The following is a 19,786-nucleotide window of genomic DNA, read 5'->3' as shown; positions in this document are numbered from 1 at the left end:
TTCCCCAAAGTCCTCTGCAATGATTCTTATGCTTGATATTCAACAAATTTTTCAACACAACTCAAGGTCACTTCTTTATGACAGCATCTTTCATTCTTGCCTGCCTGTCAACATCCGCAAGCCCTATCCTCTAATTCATTGCTTACCAAATTTTATAATAACTTTTCTAATTCATTTATCTCACAACTAAACTTTGCAAACTTATTGAGGGCAGAAATTTACCATTGTATCTTTGTAGAAACCAATAATTCCCTTAGCTAGGTACAAAGAAATGTGTGTGGAGTGAATGAGTAAATGCGGGAATAAATGCAACAGTAAATTTGAAGTGGAAATATGATGGTGGATAAGTTATTGTAATAATAATGTCAGAGCCAACATAAGAATTAATGAGAAGTGACACACGCAAATTATAATGTTTGATCAATTGAAAGTAACTGAATTGTGGTTGATCACTTTTTTCATGATTATGATGTAAAATATTTCAAAGTGTACCTTAGTTGATATTTATAATCCTTCTGAAATTCACAATGCAGTATTATTACTATTCCTTTTTGATAGACTCTTTCCCAGCATCAAAATAACTTCATTCTTTTTATTTGCTTGTTTTGTTAGTGACACAGTAAGTGCAAATTGACCTCAGGCTCATTTCCAGAAATCCCCAGTTCAGTGGAACCCCTATTAGATTCACCAATTTTTTCCTCCCTTGAGCACTAAAATGAGACTCAAAGCTTGTCATAGATATTATAATAAAAGTGTCACCTCTACTTCCATCCCTGTTATCTGGATTTGGGACAAAAGCAAATCATATTCTCTGCCTCAAAGCATATACTATATGTCACAAGAAAGTACTTTAGCCTCACGAGATAATTGTCTGCCTGCTGTTAACAATAGCCAATTTTTAATTGTCCTTTCTACTGTTTTACAAGGCCATTTGGTTCTGTATTAGATAACCAAGTGCAAGCTAAGACAAGTGAATACCAAGGTGGTTCCTATTACTTCACACCGTGAAGTAAACTTGGATACTATGTTTGGCAGGATGTCATTCAATGAGTATTTCTAGGAAGGATAAGGCAGGAAAAAAAGTCCAAATTAAGAATGAATGTGTGTTACTATGAGAAGAATTGCTAACTAGGTCTTTCCCCCTTGGTGAAGGGGGCTATAATATTGTCTCCTAAGGCCCAGATATATGGAAACTTACCACAAGCTGTGGGCTGCTCCATGTTTGGGAACTCAGCAGTGACTCTAGTCAGCTCACCTTTGGTAAGGAAATGTCGTAGAGTCTGTTTTTTTAAACCATAAATGTCCATAATCCACTGTAACAGAATTTTCAAAAGAATAAGATTCTTTGCTGTTTTGTCTTTTTTAGTAGTTTCATTACTGTGTTATAAAAATCAAGAGCTAGGTCTGGCACAGGACAGGAATTTAACAAATATTTGTTGACTAATGATATTCATCCCTGTACCCATGGATGCTTTGTTTATGAAGTCATTTTTTGGTACCACTAGGCTGGCAGAAAAGGCAAATTACAAACACCCTTAAAATAGTTTATCTTCCCCTCCAAGCACTAACCAAGCCCAACTCTGCAATCAAAGCCATAATGAAACCATCTTATACCAGGCAGAATGGCTATTACTAAAAATAAAAAAAAAAAAACAACAACAGATGCTGGCAAGACTTGGCAAGATTGTAGACTGTGAAGAAATGGGAACAAATGTATACTGATGGTGGGAATGTTTTCAGCCACTGTGGAAAACAGTTTGGAGATTTCTCAAATAAATTAAAACAGAACTACCACTGAACTCAGCAATCTCATTACTGGGTATGTACCCATAGGAAAATAAGTAGTTTTACCATGCGCTTGTATATTCATCACAGTACCATTCACAATAACAAAGACATGGACTTGTATGTTCATCACAGCACCATTCACAATAACGAAGACATGGAATCAACCTAGGTGCCCATCAATGGTGGACTGCATAAAGAACGTGTGGTACATATACACCATGGGATAGTATGCAGCCATAAATCATTCTACTATAAAGACACATGCACACATATGTTCATTGCAGCACCATTCACAATAGTGAAGACATGGAATCAACCTAAATGCCCATCAATGGTAGACTGTATAAAGAAAATGTGGTACATATACACCATGGAATACTATGCATCCATAAAAAAGAATAAAACCATGTCCTTTGCAGCAACATGGATGCAGCTGGATGCCATTCATCCTAAGCAAATTAATGTAGAAACAGAAAACCAATACCACATGTTCTGACTTGTAAGTGGGAGCTAAGCATTGGGTACATGTGGATATAAAGATGAGAAAAATTAGACACTGGGACTACCAAAAGGAGAAGTGATGGAGAAGGGTAAGTGCTGAAAAACTACCTAGTGGGTGCTATGCTCACTACCTGGGTGGTGACCATTTGTACCCCAATCTCAGTGTTATGCAATATACTCATGTAACAAACCTGCACACGTACTCCCTGAATCTAAAATAAAAGTTGAAGTTATTTAAAAATTTGTTTTTCCTGACCATTGGGTTATTTAAAAACGTATGATGTCTCTGGTACATTTCTTTGTGTGAGAATCTACAGTAGAGATCTATAATCTCAGATGTGATAGCCATTCCAAAGTATCTATCTTTAGATTACTTCTCCACCCTCCTTTTCACCAATCATTGTAAAATATTTGCCACTACTCAATAATCTGTATATAGCTCTATCCAATCCTGTCTTTTTAAATCATTTAAGAGCAACATACACTATTGGAAGTTATGGTTATCTAAAAATTTCCCTCTCCACTAGTCAGTACAGGCTCCAGAACCTAGACTCTTAAGCCTAGTGGTATATTATTAGCTTTCAGCTAATGCTGCGTTATTGTCCAAAGACATTTCTAAACCAAACTTGACTTTTTATTTCATTATTAGTCTAGAGAAAAGAGCTAAATTCCGTATGAGAAATAGATTGAAGGGATAACCTCTAGAACAGTTTCTCTCTGTTTTCACATGCCAGAGGAATGTCAACTGATAAAATGGAACTGAAATGGCTTCCCCAATGTTAATGGAAGAACAGACTTGTCACAGACTACCTGGTATGGTGGCAGCAGGGTAAATTTAAAAATCACATCTCTGGGATTGGGCAAGGTGGCTTGTGCCTGTAATCTTGGTGCTTTGGAGGGCCAAGGAGGGAGGATTGCTTGAGGCCAGGAGTTAAAGACCAGCCTGGACAACACAGCTAGACCCTGTCTCTACAAAAAAAATAAAAATTAAAAAATTATCTAAGTATGCACCTATAGTCCCAGCTACTTTGGAGGCTGAGGCAGGAGGATTGCTTGAGCCTAGCAGTTTGAGGCAACAGTAAACCATGATGGCACCACTGCATTCCAGCCTAAGCAATAGAGCCAGACCCTGTCTCAAAACAACAACAACAACAAAATCACATCCCTGGGGACCAACTGACACTGACATCCCTGGTTATATCCCATGAATTATGGGATTACCACAAATAAACTTGACAAAGTACTAGCACTTTATATATTGGCCACAGAAAAGGAAAGAAACAAACTTCTGGTTTTGGCAAACAGAAGACTTCAGACACTATATTAGACGTTCATGGACTTTTCCCCAATTTTAGACATGAGTCAGGCACCACCCTGAACTCTTGAAGGTTAGGAAGGTGCCCCTGAGGAAGGACTCTGTATTTATCTTTTAGACGTATTAGAACAGGTGCCCTCTTACTTTATGCCTTTTGCCTAATATATACTCTCTCTGGTAGTTTAAGGGAAATTTCAGCCCATCCTTTCTGTATAATAACTAAAATTTTATTTCACTTTTGTCATATTGAAATTTTCTTCATCCTTATTAGATTTATATTATCCCCCCACACAGTTGTGATATCTTAGAAATCTGTGATAAACTTTTTAAATTCAATATTCCAACGTCAGCATCTTTCCATATGTTTGCTGTATTGCACTGAACTGAAAACATGTTATTTCAAAGCATTTTTCCTACTAAAACCAATTAATTATAATGAAATGTATTTTAGAAATATGTTTTCTCTCAATTCCTTTATGTTTTTAGGCTTAGCAAGTTCATAAATAATGACAAAATTGAAGAAGAATATGTGAGACATTCCCAAATCTTTGGATATGGTGAAAAAGGTTTATTATTTTAAATGAAAACAAATACTTTATAAAAATATATATAAATGTTCCATATATATTTTTCTCTATTGACACTGTTGGACCATAGAGAGGTATATTGGTCAATTATTCATAGAGACAAACTGTATCACAGTGGTAGCAGGGAGAGCAAACAGAAAAGGAAAAAGAAACAAATTCTGTTCTCTTGTTATGCTACACTTACACCATTCTATGAATCATAGGTATGACACAATCATAGGTATACTTTTTTTCATAATTTGTAAAATACAAATCAAATATTTATCTTTCATTATTAAAATTATTCATTGTCTGACAAAATCTCTATTCGTTAGTATCAAATATGAAGCATGTCACGATTCAGTCTTTACCAAAATTCTCTGGCTTCATATCGCACCACAAGACACCTCTTCATCCCCAGCTATGACGATTACTTGCATTTGCTTGAATCATGCTCCTTTGACATCTCTATATCTTTTGCAGAGGCATATATCTTTCATACCTTCTTCATTTTTTCAACTTCTGTTCCTCTCATCCTTTGTCTTATGTAGGGTTTTCTAGAAGCAGATCTTGAGATGAGATTTAGATAAAACTAGTAGTAGAGAGGAAAAGTGGGAGAGGGAAGTTATGCGAGGAAATAAACTGTGTGCTGTTAAGCAAGTTAATACTGAAGGCAAATGGAGTTTAATCCTGTGGGATCTTTGGAAATATGTAAAACAAGCCTGAGAGCTATCCCACAGGCCACATGCAACTGTGGTGCTAAGGTAGTCACTAACTCCCTAGTCACTGTTTAGTCATTCGGTCATTTAGTTTTAAAAGTTTGTTTACCTTAATTTTCTCTATTGTACCAGCAATATTTATTGCTGGATCCTTATTTGACTTTTTTCTCCCATTTCCGCTTGTGGAGAAAGGGTTTCTGAAATTTAGTAACTACACTATGACAAAATGTAACTCTACACTGTGTCTGAAAATGGGAATATATACCTTCAAATATTTGTTTTTACCATAAAATGTATTAGAGAGATATCCATAAGAAACATTATGGAAGTCTATGTACTGACCATATCTTTTCGGTTGTTTATAAGCCTACTTTAGAAAATTAATTTGAGAACAAAGTAAGCAATTTTAGTCAAGGTGCTATTCAAGTTTCTGTTTTGTTTTGTTTTGTGTTCTCAATGAGAGTTGAGAAAAGCTCTTCATTATTTTAGTTTTCATTTGCTTTTTACTGTTATAATGTCAAATCATATACAGTATATTACAGTAAAAGCAAACATGTTAACCTTATGGTTCTTTTTTGAGTGTTAATGATGATGTTTTTCATTATTTGTTTTTGTAACAGAGCATTACGGCAACATTGGAAAAAATAAATTCTGTAAAACATTTTATCACTTATTCATCTTAAACAAAAGTTTCATCATATTTCAATATGGTACAATATTGCAGTACAGAATTATGCAAACTAAAAGGCATTTCCACCTGCAGAAAAACTGATTGTTATTACAGAAGCTGAGGAATGAAAGCAGATGAAGAAAGTTACCTGTGTTGTATTGCAGCAATAAGTTTTTAAAACACTCACAATCTAGTGTTGTCAATAGCTCAGTGATGATCAAATATATATTTTCATTATGTGCAGATTTTCTGGCCAGTGCTGAAAACAAGTAAGATACCACTCAGCATAAAGGGAGAAAAACAAATCTGAAAGCAAGTGACACAAAAAACTTGCAATCTAAAAGCAAGTGACACACAAAAACAGGCTGTTATTGTGTACCAGAAAAGCTTGTAAATCATTTTGAAAGATGTGAGCAAGTGTTAGATGTCTTCAGAAGGGACTATATAAAAATATAAGATCCAGATATCAAATTCAAGCCATGCTGTAAAACATTTTGTTCATGTGGACTGTGATTATCGCATTTAGAACTCTAGAGTTCCAACACTTAGTTGGTATTAAGTGTTGGAACTTATACCATAGCGGAACTTACCACTATGAACCCACTGCCCAATCTGTAAAATGTGAAAAATGAAAGCCTTCCCCCAGAACTGTTGAGGCTCTCTTCATAGCATGATTTCTCAAGGTAAGCAATGTGGGCCACCTGCCTCATATCACTCAGGAGTTATCCAACAAATGATGGCAGTTCCCGTCTCAGACCTACTGAATAGAAATCACAAGAGGGCAGTGGAAGAGGCAGAAATCCACCTTTTTAACAAGCTCTGCTGCTGATTCTGGAGCCCCCATGACTATAATATGGAGTGATTAGATGTGAGTTGAATTACTTTAATTTTTTATATCCTAATGTTTTTTCAAGTATTTGGACGTTGAAATTACAAAACACATTAAAATATCTTTTCCCAAACCAAAGGCCTTATAAAGTAATATAACTAATAATAAAATTTTCCTCATAACTGCAATAAGAGAGATAATATTTCAAACCTATTATGAATGAATGAAATTTCAAAGTATTTTAAATTGTCTCTAAGGAATGTTCATTGTCTTATTGATTTTTATCTCTATCCATTAAAAAATATCTCTGTCTATGATTACTAATCTGTTAAACTTTGGTTCTAAAATCACAAACTGTTCCTCTTCAGACATCGTTCTACTGCATCTGCAAAATTTCAGGACTTGTTGTGAAATAATCTGGTTGGGTGTTTAGAACATGATTCGCTAATAATAAAAATAACTCTTTATGTACCAATTATTTTCTGTCTTATTCCAAAATGTACTTAAAATATTACACATGACTTCTAGTGAATATCTATTTTTAAAAGTTAGTATACAGGGAAAATGAGAAGAAGATAAAGTATATTACACAAAAATTCATTTTGTAAGTTATTGTGCAGTTATTACAGATAAGCACCAAATTTAACTTACTTACAAATTTACTTGACCCAGTCAAGTAAAGAAAGAAAGAAAAAAGATAATGAATGAACAAATAACAAATAAATAACAAGCCAGGTAAAAATTTGATTTAATTATATATTATGTTAAATCTATATTAAATCTATCTATCTATCTATCTATCTATCTATCTATCCTTCTATCAATCTATGTATCTATTTTTTTCTTAACTTAAAAACTCTGCTCCAGAGTTGGATCTTGTGACCCACTTTATACACCTTAACACACAAATACTAATAACACATAACTCACAGGTAGAGGATATTTAAGCCAAACTTTGTGACCTCTATTATCCTCAGGGACCCTCTCTGGTAAATTGGATAACATGACAACTGGCTTCCATAATAACCTGTAAATAACTCTGTTGTAACACCCATTCTCCACCCAACATTTTAATTCTCTCTCAATTTCTGTCATCACCACTGGAGTATAAACTACCAGACATAAAGAATTGTTGCTCCTTTTCTTGGTATCTCCAGCACTATTCTATCAGGGTACTGCATGAATGTTTGTTGAATGTTAAGATTAAAAGAGCGTTTTTCTACAGAAAATTGAGGGCTACCTTCATTTCATGTCTTGTTTGGAAAAAATAATTTCGGTGTCCCAGTTCCCATGCATCAGTCACAAGCTCCTCTTTTTTTGCTGAGATTCATTTTATCCGTATGCAAGCTGAATTTCTCTGATAAGTACGAGTTCACAATTTGTGTGTGTATATTACCTTCTTCAGAGACCTTTATTAAATTCACATAATGTAATATATGGGAGTTTAGATTATTTAATTCTCTAAAACTTATACTATGAAGAAAATAAAGCTTAACTTACCATTGCTGAGTTGCAACCTTAATCCATTCCAGGGGATTTTCTTTATTTTCATAGCTTAGATTAATATATAATTAATTTTACAAATGTAATGTATTTTGCCAATAATTTTAATATAGATTATATAATTTCATAATGGTACTAAAGACTTAGTCACAATACTATGTAATTTACTAAAATTAAGAAATTTGTGAGTAAATTAAAGTTAGTGAAACTTGGTTGCAAAGAGAGAGCAGAAAAAAAAATTACTCCCGTGGCAGTAATTTCAGTTCCTGCTGAATAGTTCAGGTCAGCATATTCTATGAACCCTGAAATATCCAAAGATACTTGGATATATAACTCATAACACTTGGGTTACAATTTTTTTCAATTTTTTTTGAAATTGAGCTTTCACAAAACTAATAAGTTGATTGGATTATATTTCTTACTTTTTACATATTTCTTACATGACATTTTGTAAACACTTTTTTCTGTTGTTAGAATCTAATACTTTCCTTGTAGTTTCTAGATATGAATAACTTCCACTTTCATTGACTACTTTTCTTTTAAACTATTGACACTGGTAAAAGAAAGGCAATTAAACTGATTTTTGCCATTTTACCCCGTAATTTCTTAAATTTCAATTTCACAAATACAAACATCTTGAAATTTCAGCTTTCCTTGCATGCTATGGAAAAATGTGTCACGTATTTCTCTTTAGTAATGTCTGCTGTTTCCATTAAAGCTTCTTCAAAATGGGTTAAGGGTGGTTAAATGGATCAAGAATATGTTGTAATTAGTAAAATTGAATATTTCTTTGCCTAAATCACAGTATTCCTTTCCTTGATTTACTTTCATCAAAGAAAGTCATTACTCAAGAACATATAATTAGCTTGTTTTAATCTTATTATTTTCAGTCACCTACTAAAGTAATTAGCTTCCTCTTTTCTTTTTAGTTAGAAAATTACTAAACGATCAATGCACGATACATCATTTTCTACTCTACAGCACCAATTACTTTGATGGTCAGTGTAAATTTATTGATTTTTCTTATTAGTATATTATCACCAGATATTCATAGCATGGTGTTTGTTATTAGCAAGAGAAATATAGATTTATTTGTAAATAATTCTCATTCTGTTAAGTTTCTTGCCTAGAACATGTACAGTTAGTATGCTATCCGCTAATGGGATGTGGAAAGAGGTTAAGGATGGAGTTTACTTTTCATTCCTGCAGTGTCTGTAATTTCCCCATTGAGACGTGTCATGAAGTTAGCACAAAATAAAAAATAAACCTGCTTGTGTAAATTGCAAAGTTAGAAAAAGTTGTTTTTCTGGCCTTTGTTCTCAAATTGAATTTATTTATTTTTTCTTATGATCAAAGAATACAACGGCAGGAACATTGTACCCTCTTTACAATGGTACACACTTTCTTTATGTTATTGATTATTAACAGATCTTAAAAGTTACAAAGATGAAGTAAATATAATGTGATATAATGATGGATATATTTTTTGGTTATTTGTATATTTGTCTTATTCACCTACTAGACCAAAACTTCCTGAAGAGCAAGAAATGGAAGTGAAAGAGAAGGGAAATATTATTACGCACACAATTATGCATGCCATTTTGTCAAATGTTCTTATATGTCATGTTTTAGTCATTTCTCTTTTATTCATTCATTCAACAAGTATGCAAAGGGCCTACTATATGCCAGGAAATCTAGGATTCTGGGATATGGTGGAGAACAACATAAGAACCATGCTTTAGTGAGTCCCATATTCTAATATGGAAGACAATTATAAATAAATAATTATATAACAACACAAGTAAAGTTCCAGACAATAAAAGAAAATTGGATAGGGGATTAAAAAGAAAAAAACAAGAATGATATTTTAGATGGGGTAATCAGGGAAGATCTCTCTTTGAATATTAGCTTAGAGCAGAAAAAAGATTGAAATATAAAACATATTCACGAGAATATCTGAGTGAACAGAATTCTAGAATTGGGGTCCAGTAGCACAGATGTCCTGGCTAGAGCATGGTTAATGGAAGAAACATCAGTAAGAACAAGAGCAGGGTGTTGCCCCTACTGTTCTTTTTTTCTTTCCTTCTATTGGTTCATTTGTTCTTTCCTACTTATTTGCCCATTTATCTGTTTCTGTGTTGATGTCCTCATATTCATAATTTTTTTGTTTGTTTTTTTAAGGGGTTGAGAAGACTTAAAAAGGCATCCCTCAACCTGTGGTTATACATATATTCTACTATATTTTAAAAAAAATTATAGTTTTATATATTTAATTTTTAAAACATTTAGAGTTCATTACTGAGTGAGATATGAAGCAGGTTTTGTGATTAGTATTTATTTTGTTAAATAAATATCCAACTAATCTAACCTCACTCATTGTCCATTCTTTCACATTTGGTTTGAAATAATATCTTTATCACATACCAAATTCCAGTTCACCCATATATCAATGTCTGTGCTCTATTTATTATAATGATGCCCATTCTTACATAATTATTGTATTTTTAATATGATATATCTGTAATTTGCCTGAAATATAGTATACATGTTTTTATTTGATTTTTATTTTTTTAAAATTTTAAAGTAATGTAATTTTAAGACTCATAGTGTCAATTGATATAAAAAATTCCTAGATTTAGTTTGGAAAGACATTGACTTAATAGATTAATTAGTCAATTCTCATTTCTATATTTTTTAATATTCTTTTTTTAAAATTATACTTTAAGTTCTGGGATACATGTGCAGAATGCACAGGTTTGTTACATAGGTATACATGTGCCATGGTGGTTTGCTGCACCCATCAACCCGTCATCTACATTAGGTGTTTTTCCAAATGCTATCCCTCCTCCGGCCCCCCATCCCCCAACAGGTCCCAATGTGTGATGTTCCCCCACTGTGTCCATGTGTTCTCATTGTTCAACTCCCACTTATGAGAGAACATGGCATGTTTGGTTTTCTGTTCCTATGTTAGTTTGCTGAGAGTGAGGGTTTCCAGCTTCATCCATGTCCCTGAAAAGGACACAAACTCATCCTTTTTATGGCTGCATAGTATTCCATGATGACATGTGCCACATTTTCTTTATCCAGTCTATCATTAATGAGCATTTGGGTTGGTTCCAAGTTTTTAATATTCTTATGTGCAGTCAGGACTTCAGTCTTCTTTGTCAGTAAAGATGTATAGTTTTTGCAATGAAGGCTTAGACATTTCATATTTAGTTTATTCTTAGGTACTTTATTAATGTTGCTGATATCATATATGGAGTATATTTGTACAACTGGCTATTTTTGTGTTATGTAATTTTTTGTTGTTTTTAGTAGATTTCAAGGGAGAAGAAGAAAGCACAATGTCTTTATTCTGCTTTTTGAATCTCTTATTTTCATCTAAATGTGAATTTGAAAAGTAACATTATGCTTTTGATGTAAATGTACTCATGTATAATAAATTAAAATTTAGATTGTTTCAATAAGCTGCAGAGGCTGTATGTAATTCAACCTTGAAGGTAGCTTATGGCTTTAGCATTCTGCCTTGGTAGAATTAAGTTCATATATTTAAAACGTTAACATTAGAGCTACTAGTATCTATATATTTTGTATATTATATTTTCCTTGGTTAACTAAGAAGAATAAGTTCCTTTCATGGAACTTAGCTTTGAGGGCTAACGTGCTCCATATTCTCTTACATACATAATTACTTACTCTATTGATCTTGACTGGGATTTTTATTTTCCCCTGCTGCTTAAATCCATTATTATTGATGATTATGTAAAACACAATTGGAAGGCCCATTGAATGAGCAAATAACGATATACTCAGAGATTCCTGAACATAGTATAATATTTTTCTTATTTTAATACATTTTGGTTACTAAAAAAAGTGTAACTTGTATGCATATGTCTTAACAACATAGATAAATATTCATGGGCTTAGTACCCTAAATTAAATTTTAAGCTAATATTAACAGTTAACCATTTAGGTTTAGATAACAGTGTCAACTCAGCATTTTGGTTTGTTTGAAGTAATTTTGAAAAAAAAAATCTAGATCCTATCATGCACTTAGTAGGATGCTAATTGATATCATTGATTCAGAGAATGGCTTGTTTCACCACTCTTTTTTTTTTTCACCATCTCAGAAAGGCTTTATTTCTAATTCATCACAATCTCATACAGACTCAGAGCCACCATCATGTGTTTCCATTTGGTATCCTCGTGACTTTTCGTAGTGTTTTCCCTTAAACAAGAACATTTTGAGTAAACTCTGTACATTGCCAGTTAATCTTTTCACAAATAATTTAAAAATGTTGTTGCTGTTGTATCTTCGATGCAAGAAGACCAACAATAAAAGTACAGTACAAGGAAATTCATAACGTATTACAGTGGAACAGACTGAGTCACATTTAGGTGATGGCGAGGACACAGTAGCAGTATATACCTGCACTGGAAGATGTGCAAGCCAAGTAGGATAATATATGGATCATACAGTGAATTTTCTAAGCCCTATGAGGACTTTGTACCTTTTCAAAGATGTCCTGTATGCCCTCAGTATACAGAATATCTGTCTTGTCTACTGGCTTCATGGCTTTTTCACTGCAAAAAGTTCACTGAAGCAGATAGTTTGAAGCTTTAAAAATTCTTAAAAAACAGTAACACTGACAAAAGAAAATTAACTTAATCCACTCTAATTCAACATAGAAATAAACCGAACCAAAATGTAAAGGTGCAAATTTAACAGAGAGGTAGTCAGGTATTCACAGCGAGGGTGACCAGAATCTCTTAAAGTGTACATTTTTTAAACTTTTATTTTTTAAATCTAGTTATACCTTATTTACCTTTTTGTTTAATATACTGTGTGTAAAAAAAAAGATGGAGACAAAAATAGTTTTCTGAGCTATTTATTTATTTATTTCTGAGTCACATTTACTGTGTCATTTTAGAAACATCTCAGTTTCACAGGTTGAACATTCAGCAGCTGTGTGTTTTTTAAAAAAACATTCTTTGACCTTGAGAAAACTAGATCTCTCCTTTTGGGCAGAGTTTCGTTCATGGCGATGGTGTGGTTGTGCAAAAGACAGTGAATTATACTGTGATAATCCATGCAAGCTTGCATCATGATGTGGCTTCTCCTCGGACGGCTCCTCGCCACTGTGCTGCTCCAAGGGCGTCGGGTCTCCGGGTGACTGAGGTTGTGAGGCAGCGGGGGAATATGGGGCCCAACGTGACGGAGGGCGACTGTTTGCTGGCCTCTCGGAACTGGAGAAGCAGGTCTCTAGGGATCGAACTAGTGCAGAACAAGGTAGTTCCTCCATGGCCCCTGGCTCGGCTGTGTCCCTCAGCGAGTGGCTGTCGCTGTGGGGCCCCGGAGGCCCGTGGGCAGCCTGCCTCCTCTCCTCCTTCACGGCATACTCCAGCAGTTTCCTGTTGAGGATCCGGGCCACGTTCTCAGTCAGTGTGTAGCCACGGGGAGCGGGTAAGTCCTGCCTCGCTGGCGTGCCCTCTCCCCCTTCCTCCCTGCACATCTCTGAGCCCACGCCAATGGGGCTAGGCGACCTTTCTCGGGAATTGGTGCCTTTTCCTGGCCTGGGCCCAGCTCTGGTAGGTGTTCTGCTGAGTAAGACCGACTGCCGGCCCGCATCCCCTTCTGGAAGGGGTCCTGCACCACAGGGCCGTGGTCCATGATGTTGAAGAGGCTGGAGAGGCCGTCATTGATAGTGGTGTGCACGGGGCTCTCCCTGGTGGTGGTGGAGCGGGCCCAGGCTGACTCACTGTACCCTTTCTGGGCTGTCCCTGGTGACGTCCTGTTATTTGGCTGGTCAGCTTTGGGGAGGGGCTCCCTCTGCAGCTTGGGAGAAACGTACTTGGGGGAGCAGCATGTGCGTTCAAACTTGGCCTGCACCTTCTTGATGGAGGGGCCCCCTGTCAGCTCCTAAGTCTTCGGGAAGGAGAGACATGGGTGTAGCACCACCCCCAGCCTTTGGCGTGAGACACTTGTGGGGGCTGCTGGTGACACCCCTGCCACGCAGGGCTTCAGTCTGCAGGCCCACAGTGATGGTCTGAACAGTCTGGGTCCCCATCATCCATCACTTCTCTTTTTTAATGTGGTCACCACCACCTTGAAAGTGCTAACTTGTATGAAGAGATACTGCTGTACTGCTGTCTCTCACATTTTATTTCTTTTCTATTGTGACTGCCTTCTTGGTCCAGATTTTAAATGTAATCATTTCTGAATTACTTATGTTGGTAATATTTCAGAGTTTGGGCTCTAGAGTCAGACTGTATTTCAATCGGAATCCCAATATTTCTCAAATGCTTGAACTTCAGCTATTAGGTTTACTACTCCATGCATCAGTTTTCTAATCTTTAAAATGACAAAGCACACTAATTACTGCGTGTTGCTATTATCAAATATATTACCTCACTTTTATTGATGGTACAGTGTCAGGCACTATTAGCAATTATTATTATTATTATTTCTGAAAATATTCCCTCCCTATTAGGGCTCTCACGTTGTTTCAGCTTGTATTTTTGTAAGTAATTCCATCAAATGACAAGATGCTTTCATAAATCTTGCCACCTCGAAATTTTACGGTGCAGTGAAATATAAGTCCAGTTGTAAACAGGATGCCAAAATCTTGTCCTCGAAATTTTAATCTACTGGAAATGTCCATTTAGTTATATATATTTAATATAATCATTTCATATCCTCAAATAGGTTCTCCTCATGTTTTTCCGAGTTTAGACAAATTTTTTCCACTATTTTCCTAGTTACTCAAGTTTTACATATTTGCTCACGTTTGAGCCACTTATTCCCATTGCTTTCCCAGCTCCATAATTTTTCTGTTACTAGAAACGTTTACCTTTACTGGATTACTCACAGTCTACTAGAACCAGAATCCTAAGTCTCCAGTTACTGTAGCTTAATATCATTTAATTGATACCTTTTGCTTTAGAATTTCCACACTACAGCCGATCCTGGTCATTACTGAGGATTAATTCCCCCAAGGGGAAGTTCAGGTCAAGCCTCTCCCTTTGAACAAAGCTGAAATTGCTTCACACTCTCCCAGGTCTTCAGCCTGGCATTCACCACCCTGTGTGCCTTTGCCTAATTTACTAGTCTCTTTGATTAGTTACTCACTTTCCCAGTTGTCCCATTTATAGTCAGTTCTTCATCCAGCATGGTCTACTTTCCCGTTTTTATTTCCCTAATTTTTTTTGCATTCCTGTTATACCTTTATTGAAGCTTTTTATGGTGAGTGAAAAGCCTTCTCACTACATTCCCAACTCTTGTGGGAGATCTGTGTTCTTTGTCTGCCTACCCAGTATCCTAATTTCATCATAGTTCTTAGATGTGCCACGGAGAAAGCTCTCATTCCCCTGTTCCTGGCCATGAAAATTGGATGGAGCTGATTCTATGCTTAGTTCCAAGAGTGGATACAAAACTTAGGAATGGCTAAGTCATCAACTGTATTTATTTTGCTTGAGTGATTGGTTCAGGAATGGACACATGGTCCCATTATAGCTAATAGTATGTATTTTCTGAAGGTAAAAGGAAAGAAGCTCTTTATTTTCTGGTAGATCTGCAATGGATCACGAAATGGATAAGCCTCTCTCAGAGTTAAGCCTACATGGAAAAAAGCAGAACCCAGCTATGGGGAATGAGAAAAAGAGATAGCATAGAAGCAGAAGTAGAGCAGAAATAAAAGTAGAAGGAGAAAGGGAGGGAAAAGATCCATGATACCTGGTGATCTGGTGAATCCTCAAATCTAGTATATCCGTAGATTATAATTTATTAAAAAATATTAAGCCTTTTTACTTGAGACAATGTGGGTTGGTTGAAATTTGTTGAAGTTTAGACAAGGATGAAGAGGAAAATTTTATTGCTAAACATTAACATAATAAATATGGAAGTGCCTAATAACTTGTATTGTAGACCCTCAAATTTTGAACTGAAAGACACGTGTATACATATTTGAAAGGTTAAAAATTTATATGAAGAGAACAACTTCAGGGTTATTTTTCTTTCTAATAACATGGATGATTATGTAAAATAAATAAAAATATCTCATTTTATTATACGTTTCAAACTGGCTTATAGATTATCAGTAGAAAATGTTTTCTTAAGTAGGCATGTTATATAATTTATATGACTACAGTTTATTTGAAGAGGTAGTTATTCAAACTTAACACAGACCATCTTTTTTAAGCAAATGTAAAGATTGTCAAAATAACTAGACTAAAAATTAAAGTGAGCGTATAACACAGGAGGAGGCACTGCATGAAAAGTGCATGTGCTTAGTCTTTGATGATCAGCTCCTCCAAATAATGTGTTTCTGTAATTCTATTTCTTATGTGGCACAATCTGTTTATGATAAGACCATATAACTTTTTTTTGGAATGTTACTTTATCTTACTATGTTGGGAACTTTTGTTCCACACTGTCCTTTGAACTATTTTTTTTTTTTTTTGATGGGCTATATAGTTCATTTCCTAATAAAGCTGATAGGCACCTGGCCTGGGAGGTTGGTTTTTGTCTTTGGCTGTGTCAATGAAGACAATTAAAATGAAAAGCACATTTACATAAGAGTAGAAAATTGAGATTAAAGACAGCAGTGTTAGCTTTTGTTATCTTAGTAATATTCTAAATTTTATTTGCTCTAGTTGTCAAGAATAGACTTGAGTTCAGGGATTTTTTTTTTTTTTCCGCAGAAGTCAGTTCACCTGAAAGTGAGGTCGATTTATTTAAGAGACAGGAAGAACATAATTGACAGAGCCTGTGGCCCTGCTATCTTTTTTGTATGCTTGCATGATTTTGTAGGGTTTCTACTATAAGTGTGGCTGTTTGAAATGGTTGGGGTCAGGTAAAACAGCAGGGAAGTTTGGAGAAAAGTAGAAAAGTATTGAAAAAACACATAATCCCAATGGAATTGTTACTCTGGGTAGTTGCCAAACTCATTTCTGTCACACTTATTTGTTGTACATGGTCTGTGCTTTCATTATGAAGTGATTTTGCAATGGGGTATACTAAGCATAGCTTTTTTATTTTTGAAATATGTTTTCTGATATATACATACACATACACATACATGTATGTGTGACAATATTCTACACAGGCAAAATTTTCCTGCTTCTGTCTCCCTGAATGCATTATTACATTTCCTCAAATTATAGTATTACATGATTTTTCCCTTTCTTGTCATAAAGAGGGATGTAGCAAACAAATGGAATGCTAAACCGGTGTCAAATTATGTTTCCACTCTAAATGATTGCTAGTAGTTTCCCAAATGCTTGGATTAAGAGACTATGTGGCCATGTTTGGGTAAAGTGGGACACGGCTGTGATTAATGCTCCAATGTGATATGTGTACAGCACTGAATTATATACTTCCTGCACATGTGTAGAGAAACAAGCATTGAGCAACTGTTCATTTCTTCATATTTAAAACATTAGTTTTATTTTACTCAACATAGCCTAAGTTTACATGCATATTCCATTTTTTCCATAATATACTTTCACAAATATTTCTCACAGATATTTAATGTCTACAACTTCCATATCTGGAATCATTACCCTATTATTGCCCTAAGGGTAACCTTTCATTGTGTGTGTGTGTGTATACATACATATAAGATGGAATCTCGCTCTGTCACCCGGTCTGGAGTGCAGTGGTGTGATCTTGGCTCATTGCAACTTCCGCCTCCCAGATTCAAGCAATTCTCCTGCCTCAGCCTCCTGAGTAGCTGGGTTTACAGGAGTGTGCCACGACGCCCAGCTAAATTTTGTATTTTTAGTAGAGATGGGGGTTAACCATGTTTGCCAGGCTACATATATGTTCTATTCAAGTGGTGGAACACACACACACACACACAGACACACACACACACACACACACACACACACACAATTTTGCATTATCTTGTTCATATGTTGAATATAAAAAAGTTAATCTAATAAGTAGAGGGTAGAATGCTGGATACTAGAGGCTGGGGTGATCAGGGGTAGCAGGAGCTGTGGAGATGTTGGTAAAAAGATATACAATTACAATTAGGAAGAATACGTTTAAGAGGTCTATTGTATGATATATTTTATTCTCAAAAATACTGGGTGATATTGTTTTCATGACAAAAAATTACTATGTGAAGTTATACATGTGTTAATTAGCTATACTTAACCATTCCACAATGTATGTATACTTCAAAATATTATCTTGCACACATACAATTTTATACGTCAGTGCAAAAAATAAATGAATTTGAAAAATAATGGTGGACTACTATGTGTCTAGGTATGCAACTCATAAACCTAACTCATCATCCTTGACACAGCCCACTCTGTGATTCTCCCATCTTATTAATTACTGAAGCACATAGATGTAACCTCTAGATTAAGGTCCACAGATGTATAGATGCCATCTTACTGAAGACTCATGTCACTAATCAACATTATGGCCTCATCAATGGCAATTTGTGTTTGAATTAAAATTTATTTGTCATTCGGATTCCAAATATTTATCAATTATGTACATGTGTTTCTAACTCAAAACCCACTGTCCTCATTCAGACCTTCAGTACCAGGATTATGGTAGCACTTCCCTCATTTTCTCTCACTGCCCATCTGCTAATCTCCAGAAAGCCACTAGACTAACCTATATAAAGCAAAACCCTAAAATGATATTCCCTCTCTTAAGACACTTCACCATCTCTCTATTGCCATGAAATACAGAAAAACTCCTTAATAGTCTCCAAAATCCCACCAAGATTTAATCCGTGCCACCTTTTCATTCTCATCTCAATGTCCTGCTTCACTTTTATTCCTTCACTTTACGTATTTCATGTTATTTGTCATCTGAGTTTTGGTTGTGTTGCTGCTTGTCTAAAATGCATTTATTAATTTATTTAGTCATTCATTCAAAAATATATATTAAAGACCTTCTTGTTTGGGACATAATATAAGGCACTAGAAATGACTACTCTAATTTCACTTTCGAACATTTTGCTCAGCCGATGCTAATTTTCTGGCATCACTTCTGCAAAAGAGGCTCTCCTAAATTGTCTTCCCTCTGCCAGGCTTGGTCATGACTATTACTGTGCTCTCTGTACTACACACATCTTTATATTTGCATAGCTAGTATTTTTTTTATATAATAGTAGATATTTTACTAACAAAATAACTGATAGTAGATATTTTACTAATAAAATATATTTAATGAATATATTTAAAACATTTTAAAATGCGTGATTCCTAATATTTTGTGCAAGTATAAAATACATAATAATTACAAATGCTACTTGTTACTGAAACAGCATCATGTTTTAATAATAACTGGATGCATGTCTTAGTTGTACTTGTAAGCTCTGCAGCACTCTTTAAATTCATCATGCCTCAATTTTTCATCCTTAATATCATGAAAATTATCACTGTGCCAAATATAAAATACGTTACTAATGTTGACATATGATTGTGTCCTAGCTCAAATTTAATGTCCTGTAAACTGAGGCAAGTGACTTCATTTGTCTGAATTATAGCATATTCATATATCAAATGTGGCAATAATATATGTCATTCACAGTGTTATCAGGATCTAATAACATAATGAACATAAAATATTTTGTAAATTATAAAGCATAATGGAAATATAATATTACCAGGTATTTTGAACTAACATTTCAGTGGTGGATGTGATGGGACTGCTGATGTACTGTCCATACCCTCTGTGTACCAGATGGCCAGTGTACTAACCCCCAAGTTGCTGTGAGTGTTGGTTGTTAATGGCAGCCTTCTTCTGGTCCTGTCTGCAAATTTCTCTTCAGGCTGAACAAGAACAGCCCTTGGTGGGAGCACGGACATCATCTACCATCTCGACTCCTCTGAGCCTGAATGCAATAACTGATGGGCAAAGGGATG

The 19,786-nt window shown here is 35.1% G+C and overlaps 1 pseudogene; it reads right to left on the bottom strand.

The window, feature by feature from the left end:
* On the bottom strand, nucleotides 12,013-13,964 carry MTCL1P1 (MTCL1 pseudogene 1; annotated as a pseudogene).

Source organism: Homo sapiens, chromosome 13, assembly GCF_000001405.40.
Source record: "Homo sapiens chromosome 13, GRCh38.p14 Primary Assembly".
Lineage (NCBI taxonomy): Eukaryota > Metazoa > Chordata > Mammalia > Primates > Hominidae > Homo > Homo sapiens.
The sequence above is the reverse complement of the archived record's forward strand: the minus strand, read 5'-3'. Positions and strand labels throughout refer to the sequence as shown.